The sequence below is a fragment of the Homo sapiens genome, chromosome 1 (assembly GCF_000001405.40).
Source record: "Homo sapiens chromosome 1, GRCh38.p14 Primary Assembly".
In the NCBI taxonomy this organism is placed as follows: domain Eukaryota; kingdom Metazoa; phylum Chordata; class Mammalia; order Primates; family Hominidae; genus Homo; species Homo sapiens.
This window is the reverse complement of record NC_000001.11, coordinates 145,641,358-145,659,104: the sequence shown is the minus strand read 5'-3', so window position 1 is coordinate 145,659,104 and position 17,747 is coordinate 145,641,358. Positions and strand designations below refer to the sequence as shown.

Genomic DNA, 17,747 nt, shown 5'->3' with positions numbered 1-17,747 from the left:
ATATACTCACATAAAAACTTATACACGAGGCTGGGCATGGTGGCTCACGGATATAATCCCAGCACTTTGGGAGGCCGAGGCTAGTGGATCACCTGAGGTCAGGAGTTGAGACCAGCCTGGCCAACATGGTCAAACCTCGTCTCTACTAAAAATAGAAAAATCAGCCAGGCGTGGTGGTACGCACCTGTAATCCCAGCTACTCAGGCGGCTGAGGCAGGAGAATCGCTTGAACCCAGGAGGCAGAGATCGAAGTGAGCTGAGATCACCCCACTGTGCTCCAGCCTGGGCAACAGAGTGAGACTGTGTCTCAAAACAAAAACAAAAAAATTATACACAAATGTTCACATCAGCATTATTGATAATGGCCCAAAAGTAGAAACAATCCTAATGTACATCAACTAATAAATGGATAAAAAATGTGGTGTACCTATAAAATGAAATAGATATTATTCAGCCATAGAAAATATGAATTTTTTTTTTAAGACAGTCTTGCTCTGCTGCCTGCTGGAGTGTGGTGGCACAATCACGGCTCACTGCAGCTTCAACTTCCCAGGCTCAAGCGATCCTCCCCCGCCTCAGCCTCCCGAGTAGCTGGGGCCACAAGCATGTACTTCCATGCCCTATTAATTTTGTGTGTGTGTGTGTGTGTCGGGGAGGGAGGGGTAAAGAATGGGGTTTCCCTTTGTTTCTCAGGATAGTCTCAAACTCCTGGGCTCAAGTGATCCTCCTGCCTCAGCCTCCCAAAGTGTTGGGATTACAGGCATCTGCCACTGTGCCTGGCCAGGAATGAAATATTGATAGATACTATGACATGGATGTACCTTAAAAACATTATGCTAGGGCTGGGTACAGTGGCTCAGCCTGGGCAATATAGTGAGACTCGTCTCTATGAAAAAAAATATATACTTTTTAAAATTACATTTAAAAAGCTCCCCCCCAACCCCATTATGCTAAATGAGAGAAGCCAATCATAAAACAATATAAATTATGTGATTCCATTTATATGAAACATCCAGAATAGGGAAATCTACAGAGACAGAAAATAGATTAGTGGTTGCTAAGGGCTGAGGGAGTGGGAATTGGAGGGAAATGGGGAATGACTACTAATGAGTATGGAATTTCTTTTTGGCTTGATAAAAATGTTCAAAAATTGATTGTGGTAATGGTTATAAAACTATGAATATATTAAGAACTACTGCATCATACACTAAATGAGTATATTGTATTGTATGTGAATTATATCTCAATAAACCTGTTACATGAAAAAAATAACAGTCTCTACAGGTTCTATAGATATTAAAAGGATAGTAAGAATATTATGAGCAATATCATGCCAATAAATTTGACAACTTCAATAAAAATAGACAAATTCCTTGAGACCCAAATTGCAAGAGCTCACTCAAGAAGAAATAGATAACCTGCATAAACCCTGTATCTTTAAAAAAATGAATTGGTAGTTTAAAAAAATCTTCCTGCAAAGAAAACTCCAGGCCCAGACGGCTTTATTGATAAACTCTACAACACATTTAGGGGAGAAATAACAACATCTCCACACATACTTTTCCACTAATTTAAAGAGGTGGCAGTACTTCTCAACTCATTCTCTAAGGTCAGCAAGCATTACTCTGACACCAAAACCAAATAAAGACATTATGAGAAAAGAAAACTATAGTCCAATATCCTCATACATATGGAATCAATTTTTTTTTTTTTTGAGACAGAGTCTCCCTCTGTCATTCAAGCTGGAGTGCAGCGGTGTGATAATAGCTCACTGAGGCCTTGGACTTCTGGGCTCAAGCGATCCTCCCACCATAGCCTCCTGAGTAGCTGGGAACACAGGCATGCCACCACACTCAGTTAATTTTTATTGTTTTGCTGAGATGGGGTCTTGCTATGCTGCCCAGGCTGGTCTCAAATTCCTGGCCTCAAGCAGTCCTCCTGCTTCAGCCTCCCAAAGTACTGGGAATACAGGTGTGAGCCAACATGCTCAGACAATGCAAACATTCTTAACATAATTTTAGCAAATTGAATCTAACAAAATAGAAAAATGATAATTCACCATGACCAAGTGAGGTTTATTCTAGGAATGCAAGATTGGTTTAATATTCAAAAATTAATGAATGTAATCAACTATAGCAGACTAAAAAAGAAAAACATTGATCATCTCAATAGATGCAGTAAAAGAATTTAACAAAATCCAACACCTTTTCATGATTAACAATACTCAATAAACTATGATTACAATGGAACTTCCTCAACCTGATAAAGGGCATCTAGGGAAAACCTAACATCATAAAGGTGAGACTGGATGCTATCTCCCTAAGAGCAGGAATAACAGTAGGATGACTAATCCTACCACTTCTATTCAACTTTGTACTGAAGGTTTTAGTCAGTGCAATAAGGCTGGAGAAGGAGCAGGAGAAAAAGGATAACAAGAAGGAAGGAAGGATGGGGAAAGGAACAACTTAATTAAAACACTGGCAAGGTCGGGGGAGGGGCCAAGGTGACCAACTAGAAGTAGCTGCTGTTGGCTGCTCCTATCAAGAATGAAAACAGCGAGTGAATGTTGCACTTTCAGGCTGAGGTAACCAGGTTCTCTCATTGGGACTGACTAGGCAGTTGGCACAACCCACGGAGAGCGAGGAAAAGCAGGGTAGTGCAACAGCCCCACCTGGGAGCCGCACAGGGCAAGGGGAGTTCCCACCCCCAATCAAGGAAGGCGATGAGTGATTGTGGCACCCTGCCCAGGAAACCATGCTTCTTCCACAGATCTGTGCAACCCGTGGATCAGGAGATTCCCCTTGTGAGCCCAGGCCAACAGGGCCTTGGATCCCAAGCACAGAGCTGCCCAGATGCTCAGTGGCCACTGAGGTTGCAGCCAGCAGCAGCAGGCTGGAGATTGCCTAAGACGACCAAGTTCCCGGGACAGCCACCATCACTGCAGGTCCAGTCTGCCCTTTTCCCCTGCCAGTGCCGGGGAGAATAGGTGGTTTGGACCAGGAGGAATTCCCCACAGCACAGCACAGTGGTAGTGGCAGACTGTGGCCAGACCGCTTCTTTAGGTGGGACTCGGATCCATTCCTCCTCACTAGGCGAGGCCTCCCTGCAGAAATGTCAGCAACTCCAGGTAGGGGTTTATGAGCAGAACTGATCTCCCTGGGAAGGAGCCCCTGGGGGCAGGGGTGACTATCGTCTTCGTGGTTCAGCAGACTTAGTCTTTCCTGCCTGCTGGCTCTGAAGGGTCTGGGCAGTCCAGAGGAGGGGGATTCCCTTCAGTGCAGCACAGCTGCTCTGCCAAGGGGCAGTCAGAGTGCTTCCTTAAGCAGGTCCCTGATCCCGTGCCTCCTGACTGAGACCCCCCACCAGGGGTTGCCAGACATCTTATACAGGAACGTTCCTGCCGGCATCAGGTCAGTGCTTCCTCCCAGAGGACGGAGCAAGCAGCCATCTTTGCTGTTCTGCAGCCTCCACTGGTAATACCTCCAGGTGCGAGAGGGACCCAGGCGAGTAGGGTATGGATTCGACCGCCAACAAATGGCAGCAGCCCTACAGAAGAGGGGCCTGACTGTTAAAAACAAACAAACAGAAAGCAACAACAACATCAACAAAAAAAGACCCCACAAAAACCCCATCCAAAGGTCAGCAGCCTCAAAAATCGAAGGTAGATAAACTGAGGATGATGAGAAAGAATCAACACAAAAACGGTGACAACTCAAAAAGCCAGAGTGCCTCTTCTCCAAATGATCACAACACCTCTCCAGCAAGGGCACAGAACTGGGCTGAGGCTGAGGCTGAGATGGATGCACTGACAGAAGTAGGCTTTAGAAGCTGGGCAGTAACAAACATTGCTGAGCAAAAGAAGTAATGTTCTAACCCAATGCAAAGAAGCCAAGAACCATGATAAAACATTATAGGAGCTGTTAACCAGAATAACCCGTTTAAAAAGGAACATAAACAATGTGATGGAGCTGAAAAACACAATGTGAAATTCACAATGCAACCACAAATATCAATAGCTGAAGAGACTAAGCAGAGGAAAGAATCTCAGAGCTTGAAGACTATCTTGCTGAAATAAGACAGGCAGACAAGGTGAGAGAAAAAAGAATGAAAAGGAATGAACAAAACCTCTGAGAACTATGGGATTACATAAAAATACCGAACCTACGGCTGATTCAGGTACCTGGAAGAGACGGGGAGAACGGAACCGTTTCAAGTTGGAAAACATACTTCAGGATATCATCCAGGAGAACTTCCCCAACCTAGCAATACAGGCCAGAACTTCTCCAACCTAGCAAGACAGGCCAACATTCAAATTCAGGAAATCCAGAGAACTCCAGTAAAATACTCCATGAGAAGATCAACCCCAAGACACATAATCATCAGATTCTCCAAGGTCGAAATGAAGGAAAAAATGTTAAGGGCAGCCAGAAAGGACAGGTCACCTACAAAGAGAAGTCCATCAGACTAACAGTGCACCTCTCAGTGGAAACCCTATAAGCCAGAAGCAATTGGGAGTCAATATTCAACATTCTGTTTTTTTTTTTTTTTTTTGTAGATGGATTCTTGCTCTGTCACCCAGGCTGGAGTGCAGTGGCATAGTCTCGGCTCACTGCAACCTCCACCTCCTGGGTTCATGCCATTCTCCTGCCTCAGCCTCCCGAGTAGCTAGGACTACAGGCGCCTGCCACCATGCCTGGCTAATTTTTTGTATTTTTAGTAGAGATGGGGTTTCACCGTGTTAGCCAGGATGGTCTCGATCTTCTGACCTCGTGATCTGCCCGCCTCGGCCTCCCAAAGTGCTGGGATTACCGGCATGAGCCACCACGCCCAGCTCAACATTCTTAAAGAAAAGAATTTCCAACCCAGAATTTCCTATCTGGCCAAACTAAGCTTCATAAGTGAAGGAGAAATAAAATCCTTTTCAGACAAGCAAATGCTGAGGGAACTTGTGACCACCTTGCAAGAACTCCTGAAGGAAGCACTAAGTATGGAAAGGAAAAACTATTACCAGCCACTACAAAAACACACTGAAGTACACAAAGCAATGACACTATGAAGCAACTACAATAACAAGTCTGCAAAATAACCAGCTAGCATCATGATGACAGGATCAAATCACACATAACAATTTTAACCTTAAATGTAAATGGGCTAAATGCCCCAATTAAAAGACACAGAATGGCAAGCTGGATAAAGAATCAAGACCCATCAGTGTGCTGTATTCAGGAGGCCCCTCTCATGTGCAAAGACACACATAGGCTCAAAATAAAGGGATGGAGGAAAATTTACCAAGCAAATGGAAAGCAAAAAAAAGCAGGGGTTGCAATCCTAGTTTCTGACAAAACAGACTTTAACAAAGATCAAAAAAGACAAACAAGGGCTTTACATAATGCTAAAGGGTTCAATTCAACAAGAGCTAACTATCCTAAATATATATACACCCAATACAGGAGCACCCAGATCTATAAAACAAGTTCTTAGAGACCTACAAAGAGACTTATACTCTCACATAATAATAGTGGGAGACATTAACACCCCACAGTCAATGTTACACAGATCATTGAGACAGAAAATTAACAAGTATATTTAGGACTTGAACTCAGCTCTGGATCAAGTGGACCTGATAGACATCTACAGAACTCTCTACCCAAAAACAACAGAATATACATTCTTCTTGGTGCCACATGGCACATACTCTAAAATTGATCACATAACTGGAAGTAGAACACTCCTCAGCAAATGCAAAAGAACTGAAATTATAACAGTCTCTCAGACCACAGGACAATCAAATTAGAACTCAAGACTAAGAAACTAACTCAAAACTACACAACTACATGAAAATTGAACAACCTGCTCCTGAATGACTCCTCAGTAAATAATGAAATTAAGGCAGAAATCAAGAAGTTATTTGATACTATGAGAACAAAGAGACAACATACCAGAATCTCTGGGACACAGCTAAAGCAGTGTTAAGAGGGAAATGGATAGCACTAAATGCTCATATCAAAAAGCTAGAAAGATCTCAAATCGACACCCTAACATCACAACTAAAAGAACTAGAGAACCAAGAGCAAACAAACCCCAAAGCTAGCAGAATATAAGAAATAACCAAGGTCACAGCAGAACTGCAGGAGATAGAGCACGAAAAACCCTTCAAAAAAATCAACGAATCCAGGAGCCAGTTTTTTGAAAAGATTAATAAAATAGACCACTACTAGACTAATAAAGAAGAAGAATCAAACAGACACAAAAAAAATGATAAAGGGGACATCACCACTGATCCCACAGAAATACAAATAACCATCAGAGAATACTATAAACATCTCTATGCAAATCAACTAGAAAATCTAGAAGAAATGGATAAATTCTTGGACACATACACCCTCCCAAGACTGAACCAGGAAGAAGTTGAATCCCTGAATAGACCCATAAGGAGTTCTGATTTGGGGCAGTAATAAGCCTACCATCCAAGGAAAGCCCAGGACCAGATGGATTTACAGCTGAATTCAGAGGTAAAAAGAGGAGCTGATACCATTTCTTCTGCAACTATTCCAAACAACAGAAAAAGAGGGACTCCTCCCTAACTCATTTTATGAGGCCAGCTCATTCTGATACCAAAATCTGGCAGAGATACAACAACAAAAAAAGAAAACTTCAGGCCAATATCCCTGAAGAACATTGATGTGAAAATCCTCAATAAAATACTGGCAAACCAAATCCAGCAGCACATCAAAAAGCTCATCTACCACGATCAAGTCAGCTTCATGCCCAGTATGCAACACTGGTTCAACATACACGAATCAGTAAACGTAATCCATCACATAAACAGAACCAATGACAAAAACCACATGATTATCTCAATAGACACAGAAAAGGCCTTTGATAAAATTCAACATCCCTTCATGCTAAAAACTCTCAATAAACTAGGTATTGATGGAACATACCTCAAAATAATAAGGGTGATTTATAACAAACCCACAGCCAATATCACACTGAATGGACAAAAGCTGGAAGCATTTCCTTTGAAAACTGGCACAAGATAGGACTCCCTCTCTCACCACTCCTATTCAACATAGTATTGGAAGTTCTGGCCAGGGCAATCAGGCAAGAGAAAGAAATAAAGGGTATTCAAATAGGAAGAGAGAAAGTCAAATTGTCTTTGTTTGCATATGACATAATCTTCTATCTAGAAAACCCCATCGTCTCAGCCCAAAAGCTACCTAAACTGATAAGCAACTTCAGCAAAGTCTCAGGATAAAAAGTCAATGTGCAAAAATCACAAGCATTCCTGTACACCAACAACAGACAAGCAGAGAGCCAAATCATGAATGAACTCCCATTTACAACTGCTACAAAGAGAATACAATACCTAGGAATACAGCTAACAAGGGGAGTGAAGGACCTCTTCAAGGAGAACTACAAACCACTGCTCAAGGAAATCAGAGAGGACACATACAAATGGAAAAACACTCCATGCTCCCAGATAGGAAGAATCAATATCATGAAAATGGCCATACTGCCCAAAGTAATTTATAAATTCAGTGCTACTCCCATTAAACTACCATTGACATTCTTCCCAGAATTAGAAAAAAACTATTTTAAAATTCAATATGGAAGCAAAAAAGAGCCCGTACAAGTCAAGACAACTGTAAGCAAAAAGAACAAAGCTGGAGGCATCACGCTACCTGACTTCAAACTATACTACAAGGTTACAGTGACCAAAACAGCATGGTACTGGTACAAAAACAGACACATAGACCAATGGAACAGAATAGAGAACTCAGAAATAAGACCGCACATCTACAGCCATCTGATCTTTGACAAAGCTGACAAAAACAAGCAATGGGGAAAGGATTCCCTATTTAATAAATGGTGCTGGGAAAACTGGCTAGCCATATGCAGAAAACTGAAACTGGAACCCTTCTTTACACCTTATACAAAAATTAACTCAAGATGGATTAAAGACTTAAATGTAAAACCCCAAACTATAAAAAACCTAGAAGAAAATCTAGGCAATACCATTCAGGACATGGTACAGGCAAAGGTTTCATGACAAAAATGTCAAAAGCAATTGCCACAAAAGCAAAAATTGACAAATGGGATCTAATTAAACTAAAGAGCTTCTGCACAGCTAAAGAAACTATCATCAGGGTGAACAGACAACCAACAGAATGGGAGAAAATTTTTGCAATCTATCCATCTGACAAAGGCCTAATATCCAGAATCTACAAGGAACTTAAAGAAATTTACAAGAAAAAAATCAAACAACCCCATTAAAAAGTAAGCAAAGGACATGAACAGACAATTCTCAAAAGAAGACATTTATGTGGCCAACAAACGTATGAAAAAAAGCTCAAGCTCAGTATCACTGATCATTAGAGAAATGCAAATCAAAACCACAATGAGCTACCATCTCACACCAGTCAGAATGGCAATTATTAAAAAGTCAAGAAACAACAGATGCTGGCGAGGCTACAGAGAAATAGGAACGCTTTTACACTGTTGGTGGGAATGTACATTAACTCAATCATTGTGGAAGACAGTGTGGTGATTCCTCAAAGACCTAGCACCAGAAATACCATTTGACCCAGCAATCCCATTACTGGGTATATACCCAAAGGAATATAAATCATTCCATTATAAAGATACATACACATGTACGTCCACTGCAGCACTATTCACAATAGCAAAGACATAGAATCAACCCAAATGCCCATCAATGATAGACCGGATAAAGAAAATGTGGTACATATACACCATGGAATACTATACTGCCATAAAAAGGAATGAGATCATGTCCTTTGCAGGGACATGGATGGAGCTGGAAGCCATCATCCTCATCAAACTAACACAGGAACAGAAAACCAAATATCACATGTTCTCACTTATAAGTGGGAACTGAACAATGTGAACACACAGACACAGGGAGGGAACAACACAAACTGGGACCTGTCGAAGGCGGGGAGGGGGAGGGAGAGCATCAGGGAAAATAGCTAATGGATGCTGGGCTTAATACCTAGGTGATGGGTTGATAGATGCAGCAAATCACCATGGCACATACTTACATATGTAACAAACTTGCACATCCTGCACATGTACCTCAGAACTTAAAATTAAAAAAAAATTGGCAAAAGATTTGAACAGATAATTCATCCAAAAAAAATATGGGTGGGAAAAAAAGCACATGAAAAGATGCTCAATATCATTAGACATTAAGAAAATATAAATTAAAACCACAATGCAATATCACCTCGTATCTATTAGAATGTCTAATATTAGCAAGACTGGCCATATAGAGTGTTGGTGAGGATGTGAACAACTGAAACTCATACACAGTGCAGGTGGAAATGTAAATGATACAATTTTTTTGGAAAAGAGTTGGCTGTTTCTTCAAAAGTTAAACATTACATCTGCCATATGATCCAGACATTCCACTCCTAAGTGCCTACTCAAGAGAAAGACAGCACACGTCTATACACAAAATTGTACACAAGTGTTCACAGCAACTTTATCTGTAATATCCCCCAACTGGAAACAACCAAATATTCATCATCAGATGAATGGACAAACAAAATTGTGGCACGTCCAAACCACGGAAACACTACTCAGCAATACAAAAGAATAAACTACTGATACAAATCATAACATGGATAAAATGTAAAATAATCATGCCGAGTAAAATAAGCCAGACAGAAAAAGGATACATACTGTAGGATTCTACTTACATAACATTCTAGAAAATACAAACTAATATATAATGAGAGAAGGCAGATTGGCAGTCGTCTGGGGACTAGAGGTGTGGGAGAGAGGCATTACAAAGGGACACCAGGAATCTCAGGAATCTCATGGCAGTGATGGATGGATGTGTTCTCTGTCTTGACCGTGGTGATGGTTGTTGCATAGGTATATATGTATGTCAAAACGTACCCAGTTGTACATAAATATATGTTCGGTTTACATATCAGTTATACCCCAATAAACCTGTTAAAAAATGACATGCTGGCTGGGTGCAGTGGCTCACGCCTGTAATCCCAGCACTTTGGGAGGCTGAGGCAGGCGGATCACGAGGTCAGGAGATCGAGACCATCCTGGCCAAGATGGTGAAACCCTGTCTCTACTAAAAATACAAAAAATTAGCCGGGCATTGTGGCACACACCTGTAGTCCCAGCTACTTGGGAGCCTAAGGCAGGGGAATCACTTGAATCTGGAAGGCGGAGGGGTTGCAGTGAGCCGAGATCATGCCACTGCACTCCAGCCTGGGAGACAGAGAGAGACTCCGTCTTCAACAAAAAAAAAAAAAAAAAAGAACATGCTTCCCTAGGCCGGGTGTGATGATGGCTCACGCCTGTAGTCCCAGCACTTTGGGAGGCTGAGACGGGCAGATTGCCTGAGCTCAGGAGTTCAAAACCACCTTGGGCAACATGGTGAAAGCCCATGTCTACTGAAATACAAAAAAGTTAGCTGGGCGTGGTGGTGCGTGCTTGCAATCCCAGCCACTCGGGAGGCTGAGGCAGGAGAATTGCTTGGGCCCAGGAGGCAGAGGTTGCAGTGAGCCGAGATCGCACCACTGTACTACAGCTTGGGTGACAGAATGAGACTCCATCTAAAAAAAAAAAGACATGCTTCCCTAAAGGCTGCATCTTAGGAAAATACCTTTTAGTAGCTTTGCTAACTGAACATACTATCTTCATTCATTATCTCCCACTGAATGAATCCAGATTTTAAAATGTCATCTGAGTATTATTGACATCAATTTATTGTAACACTAGATCCTTTATATAATGAAAATCCTCATTCATCTACATTGATCAAAATTAACTAACAAGCTGACAAAGCTCCTCTTTGCACAAACACAAACCCAGTAGGAAAGTCATCAAACTAGGAAGTCAAATCAGCCTTTTCTGTAATCACATTGAAATCCATTAATACCTGAGTCAGAGGTAAAGACAAATACTGTACATAAAAAATATTATGAGAAAACCACAAAAGAATTAGAGCTATATGTACAGCAAATGAATTTATCTATGGAAATACATTTTAGAATTTATTGTGAACTTAATTTTTTAGGTATACACATAATTAAAAAGGACAAGTAACTTCTGAGCTGAAGGTAGAAGTTGAAGTTATATATACAGTTATGTACTCATGGGTAACACAGAAAGCAGAATGCAAAATAAGAAATGTTCACATTCTATATATATATATATATATATATATATATATAGAGAGAGAGAGAGAGAGAGAGAGAGAGAGGAGGAGGAGAGAGAGAGAGAGAGTCGACGACGACGAAGAGAGAGAGAGAGATGGAGTCTCGCCCTCTCCCCAGGCTGGAGTGCAGTGGCGTGATCTTAGCTCACTGCAACGTCCGCCTCTCGGGTTCAAGCGATTCTCCTGCCTCAGCCTCCTGAGTAGCTGGGATTACAGGCGGCCCACCACCACACCCAGCTAATTTTTGTATTTTTAGTAGAGATGGGGTTTCACCATGTTGGCCAGGCTGTTCTCGAACTCCTGACCTCAGGTGATATGCCTGCCTTGGCCTCCGAAAGTGCTGGGATTATAGGCATGAGCCACCATGCCCGGCCTCAATTTAGATATTTCATAAACTAAGGCCTTATTAACAATTTCTGACAGAAGAAAAATGCAACCTTTCTTATCTATGTAATCTAAAAAGGAGAGAGGATAACGAATGAAGCCCAGAGATGTGGAAGATCATGCTCTCTGTTGATGCAATCACATTTGGAATTTAGTTCAATATATCAGTCAAATCCACTCTTATCTCCCTGCCACTACCAGGAAAAAACATCTAAACTCTGATAATTAAAAATAACATACTTACCATGAAAATTTTCCAAACACAGTAAATAGAGAAAAAGTAACCAAGAAAATTAAAATATTTCCCCTTGAAGGTTTTGGAGTATTCTATTCTCTCCTGGGGGAAAACAAACACAAAACATAGTTTTCAGCAAAATATAAATTTATATTCAACACAAGTATTCTTCCCTCTATGAATCACTGTTCAGGCTAAGTCAAAAAACCATACATTGTAATAATATTAAACTAATAACAGTAGTTGTGGCCAGCATTTACTGAATGCTTGCTTTTAGCTAGAGACTGGGATAAACATCTTACATGCATTATCCACTTAATCTTCATAACAATTCTTATGAGATACGTTCTATTATCTTAATTTTACAGATGAGAAAATTGAGGCTTTGAGAGGTTCGATAACTTGCTCAAAGTCACACAGCTGGTGAGTAGGCTCAGGTTTATCTGTTTCCAAAGCCTATGTTAACCTCTGTCCTATAAGGTTACTCCTGTAAAGTTATCCTCAAAAAGAATTAAAAGTTTGTAATCTTCACTAACAGATTTTGCACATTTAAATTATATTTTATTTTAGGTGTACATAGGAAAGTTACTTCTTACAGTTTCGACACTTATTGACCTGGATCCTTTAAAATAGGGCTAGGCCATCCATGGCAGATAGGTGTCTACTGCTCTTATAATATTACTAACTTATAAAGGAATAAAAGTAGCTACCATCTTTATCCCAGGTTAGTAGGAGGTGGTACGTGCCACCTTCCTAAATGTTGAAAAGCCTCTTCTGACTATCCCACCAATTGCTACTTTTGAGAGTGTTCCATTAAGGATTTTGCTAGTGACAGGAGCAATTTCATGAAGAGTGAAGATCCCTTATCCCTAATGCTTCATGGCTGATATAGAAGCTGTGAGGTATCTCTTGCTTGGCCACAGAGAAATCTAAAAAGCCATTTAGTCTTGTTCTCTCTTTAATAATATTGGTAAAAACCACACTTCAGTTTCCTTGCTCTGTACCTTGGTAGCATATAGATCAGCTGTTTCCAGAAAAAGCTGCCTGCTTAATTCTTCCAAAGCATCCACTTCCTGTTGAATAAGAGTAAGATCTGGCACAGAATGGGCATCAAGGTTTTAATCACATAGGAATTCAAGAAATGGCAATGAGAAAGCATATACTTTTGGTTTTTCCTACAGTGGATTCCCGGAGTTGCCTATATTCTCAATTTCCTGTTTCATAGCCAGCAGCGCTACTTCAGAGCAGCTTTCCCAACCTCTGACGCAGGTGTGTAAAAGCTTCTCCATCAAGAGCATCGCCACCAAACAATTACCACTCAGTTTCTCTTAAGCAGCTCAAACAGATGGTTTCATTTGTTTTTTGATTTAACTAGTTAGATTAAGTCAAATGTAATGTTCAAGATTGTAAATAGTTACAGAATAATAACTATAATAAAGCATAGCTTTCTCCTACATTATCTGAATATAATGTTAGAAAAGGGAACTAATACTTTACTGTGTTCTAATATAGGCTAGGATTTACAGACATTACCTTCTTTCTTTTCAAACATTATCTTCTTTTATATCTTATCTTCATGGGATTGTCTTATGCCATGGTGTTATCCATTTTGCACATAAGGAAAGTGAAGCTCAGAGAGTTAAATAACTTGCTCAAAGTCACACAATTAATTGATAGAGATGCAAAGTCAAATCCTCTTTTCCTCCAAAGCCTGCTCTTTCCATTACACTATGTTATTTTCCAAGAACTCAATCAGGTAGAGTTATTATTCTCCCATTTAGAGAACAGGGGCTCAGGGAGGTTAAATAATCCTGATATGTTTGTTAACTCATTACTAACACAGCTCAAACCCGTATTATTGGCTTTTATGAACTTTTAAGTAATAAACATAGTAAATACAGCCCCTTCTAAAATAGAAGCACATACTTCAATCTAAATCCTCCCTCCTCTCTGATTTTTCCCACTATTACCCAAATCAGTAAGTGCCCTTCAGTTCCTTCCTTAATAGTGGCTACTACTGGCATGGTTCAAGCCACCAAACAATATGGTTTAACTAGTTACATGTCTGTCTCTCCCATGATTAGAGGGTAAGCTCCTTGAGGAGAAAGGCTATACTCTACTCATCATTTTATTTCTTAGCACTCAGCCTGGAAATAGGAGATACGAAATAAATGTTTCTTGGTTAAATAAATCTAAATTAATCCTTTTTCTTTCTCTTCCACAATCATCTTGCCTTTCTTTGATCTTATTCTTATCTTCATTTGACACCAGGACATAAATCATAATTTGTAGCAAGAATAGACATCCTTCTCTAATTGAGGCAAAAGGGAATTTGTATTTCCCTGGGACAGAGAAGGAAACAGGAGTATGCTATCTCATGCTTAGTTCCCCAAAGTTTTGACCTAATAGCACCAGAGCCACACAGAAATTTGGTTACATAATTTGGGAAGTAGTTCAACATCATAACCAATCAGGAAAGAACAGTTTATTAATCTATTAATCAAATCTCCTTTATCCTTTCTTTTTTATTTTGAGACAGGGTCTAGCTCTGTTGCCTAGGCAGGAGTGCAGTGGCGTGATCTGGGCTCACTCCTACCTCAGCCTCCCAAGTTCAAACAATCCTCCCACCTCAGCCTCCTGAGTAGTTGGGATTACAGGCACATGCCACTGGGCCTGGCTAATTTTTGTATTTTTTGTAGAGATGAGGTTTTGTCATGTTGCCGAGGCTTGTCTTGAACTCCTGGGTTCAAGTGATCTGCCCACCTCGGCCTTGCAAAGTGCTGGGATTACAGGGATGAGCCACTGCACCCAGCCTCCCCTTGATTCTTTAAACCAAAATGTCACTGGAGAAGCAGAGCTACTTAAAATTTGTTTAGGAATACTAATTACTTTAGAAATGGGCCATTTATTTTAGGTAGCCATTATGCTTTATGGTGGTTTTTCAGAGTTGAGAAATGTAATAGTGTAGTGGAAAGAACTATGAAGAGGAGACCACAGTTATGTTTCTAGCTTTGCCACAAACCACCGTGTGACTTAACCTCTCTGGGTCTATTTTCTCATCTGTAAAATGGAAAGGCTGACTTTTTAGGACCACTTCAGCTCAAAGACAATGATTTTATGATATTGTGCAGGTGCTGGAAAGATGACTGTACACATGGTATTTCCTAAGCCTAGCTCTTAGGAGTTTGGACTCTGATGTAGTCAGGTACCTTAGAAGGGACTATCCCAACACTACTTTTTTTCTTTTGCTCTTGGTCCAGAGTTGAGAAAAAGAATCAAGCAGAGGGACAAAGGATACTTTCACTTCCTGATGCTGAAGTGGTAACACTTTTTATCATTCCCCAGAAACCTGATGGTTTGTTATGCACTTCCCCCTTCTGGAACATTGTTCTCCGTGCCATTGCCATCCTGAAATGAAAGAAAATATAAAGCCTCAGCAAGCAAGCATGGACCCTCACAGTCTAGTCCCATCCATTTTCCAGTCTCACAACTGCCTCTCATGTACTGAGCTGTTTATGTAAGGATACTGATTCTGGAGTCCTACTTTTCTACTACTTACAACTGAAGGGAAACTATGTGGAAGCAATGTGGCCTGGGTGAAGAAGCACAGAATTTGGGCTAGGCAATAAATTTGAGGACTGGCTCTGCTATTTGGAAGCTGGGAGGTCTTAGAGTTTTCATCTCCTCATCTCTGGATGGTTGTGAAGATAAATGAAATAATACATATGAATTCATGTTCATATGAGGCGCTATACATAGTTTAATTACTACAGTTACCATTTAAAGACAAAATAAAACAGCTAACATACCTGGCTGGGTGTGGTGGCTCACTCCTGTAATCCCAGCACTTTGGGAGGCCGAGGCAGGTGGATCACCTGAGGTTGGGAGTTCAAGACCAGCATGGGCAACATGGTGAAACCCCATCTCTACTAAAAATACAAAAATTAGCTGGGCGTGGTGACCCATGTCTGTAATCCCAGCTACTTGGGAGGCTGAGGCAGGAGAATCGCTTGAACCTAGGAGGCAGAGGTTGCAGTGAGCTGAGATCACACCACTGCACGCCAGCCCAGGTGACAGAGTGAGACTCCATCTCAAAAACAAAACAAAAACAAACAAACAAAAAAAACCAGCTAACATACCTAACTAAAGGACCAAATACAGAGTTTGGAACGCAATACATGTTTTCTTCCTTCTTTTTCAAAGGCAGACAAAAGGAAAAAAAATAGCAAAATTGCATAAACCTGTCCCCTTCTAAAATATCAGTCTCTAAGTCCAATACCCTCACCTTCTGCAATCTGTCCTACAGGTGAATAAATCAACAGGAAACCTACCACTCCTGGTCCTCTCAGTCTGTGGAGGACCGACTAGTACAGTGGTAGCTGCTGGCATGTCCCAGCTCACCACAAAGGTATCAACAGGGTCCTAGTGAGGATCAAAATAAAATATCATTTGTACATAATTGATTTAAAGGGTTTAATGGGCCAAGGCCTACAGGCATAAAATGAACTAGGATGAGTCTAATAAAAATAGAGTAGCAGGACCAAAGAAAAATGTAACTCAAGGTGGATATTTTTGGGAGGCAAAAGATAAAAATGGTGAAGAGCAAGCAGCAGCATTGGTATTTATGCCTGGGACTAATACAAATAGTACCAATGGTACCAAAGATCAAATGATATTTCTATGGGTGAAATTTTTTGAGCCATTAGCTAAAATGATATTAACAAGAAAGAATGTCAGCCATGTTGACTTAACTGTTTCCTTTTGAAAATGACCTTTGCCTGGATACTGAGTGAATGAAACACAGCTCTTTTAGCTCTTTCTGCCTTTCTTCTAACTACACATCTACTATCACTCACCATTTTGGGAAGATGTAATAAACAACCAAGAAGAGGCTCAGACCTAGGGAGATTCTGACTTGTAAGATTAAGGCTTAGTAATTCTAGGTTTTTATATTTTCATAGTTGAAAAAGCTAGAACACATATACAAAGAAGGCAAGGGTTCTATTCCACTCATTTAATAGTTCATTTCAGCTTAACATGCAGGATTAAAAGAGGCAGTTGTGAGAGAGGAAGCACAGAGCTCATTTCTATTGTCCTTATTTTCAGTGTCTACAACAAACACTAATGACTGGCTGTGGAGTGGAATCGATTGAATATGTAAAGGTGATTGACACTGTGCTGTGGTCTCATAATAGGCAAAGAAGTGTAATCACTAGAAGTGAAAGTTAGAGGCACATAGACAAGCATGGCCTTGTTTTAAACAATTCACTTTTACTTTCAATTGTATCAAGAATCTATTAATTCTAAACCAATTTTGCTCTTATCAAATAAGTTGTAGATGAAAAAGAAATGATCATATATTTAAGAAGGTAACAATATTAAACCTTCCGAAGCGTGAATAGGAATGAAAAAACCACCCAACCATATGAGGTACTATAGAATTAGATCACCTTCATCTTCAACTTTTCTTTACTATCATCATCACTATTGCCTCTTTATAACAAGGGTAGCTTACAAGGAATTATCTATTTGTTATTAGCCCAATGTCATTTAAAAGTTCCTAATATGGAAAAACATATGCACTTGGCTGAGGTTTGGTAGTAGTGCACAACAGAAGAAGCTAAAAAATGTCTACTGAGGTTTAAATGTCAGTCAACTATTTTCTGGTCTCTGTTGTTTCTAGTAGGAAGTCAGCCATTACTTTTTTTTAGTTAAACTTTTTGAAATAATTGTAGATTCATAATGTAGTTTTGAGAAAAAATGCAGAGATTCCATGTACCCTTTACCCAGATTTCCTCAACTGAAATATCTTGCAAAACTCTAGTACAACCAGGATACTGACATTGATAGAGTCACAATACGGGACATTTCCATCACTACAAGGATCTTTCAGGGTGCACCTGTACAGCTTACCTCCCT

The 17,747-nt window shown here is 40.3% G+C and overlaps 1 protein-coding gene across 10 annotated transcripts in view, besides 1 other annotated feature; it reads right to left on the bottom strand.

Annotated features, from left to right (window-relative positions):
• GPR89A (G protein-coupled receptor 89A) overlaps positions 1-17,747 on the bottom strand; it is a 62,663-nt gene that overhangs the window by 11,546 nt on the left and 33,370 nt on the right. For 7 of the 10 annotated variants that reach the window (NR_036541.2, NM_001097613.3, XM_011509908.3 and 4 more), the window contains 3 exons: positions 15,127-15,236; positions 12,833-12,921; positions 11,838-11,930 (listed from right to left, as the gene is read on the bottom strand). Coding sequence is in view for 8 of the 10 variants with exons in the window: in NM_001097613.3 (NP_001091082.2) it covers positions 11,838-11,930; positions 12,833-12,921; positions 15,127-15,236 (292 nt within the window). In the remaining 2 variants the exon portion in view is untranslated. Of the gene's footprint in view, positions 1-11,837; positions 11,931-12,832; positions 12,922-13,361; positions 13,459-15,126; positions 15,237-17,747 lie in introns of those variants that run through there. The other 3 variants (XR_007063066.1, XM_047428710.1, XM_017002150.3) reach the window with 3 other exon arrangements.
• Positions 12,993-13,205: a silencer, noted in NCBI's record as "fragment chr1:145788927-145789139 (GRCh37/hg19 assembly coordinates)". NCBI's record gives its function as "represses an EF-1alpha promoter that drives an FKBP-Casp9 reporter gene in an ReSE screen in HepG2 liver carcinoma cells {active_cell/tissue: HepG2}" and the evidence as "EXISTENCE:reporter gene assay evidence [ECO:0000049][PMID:32094911]".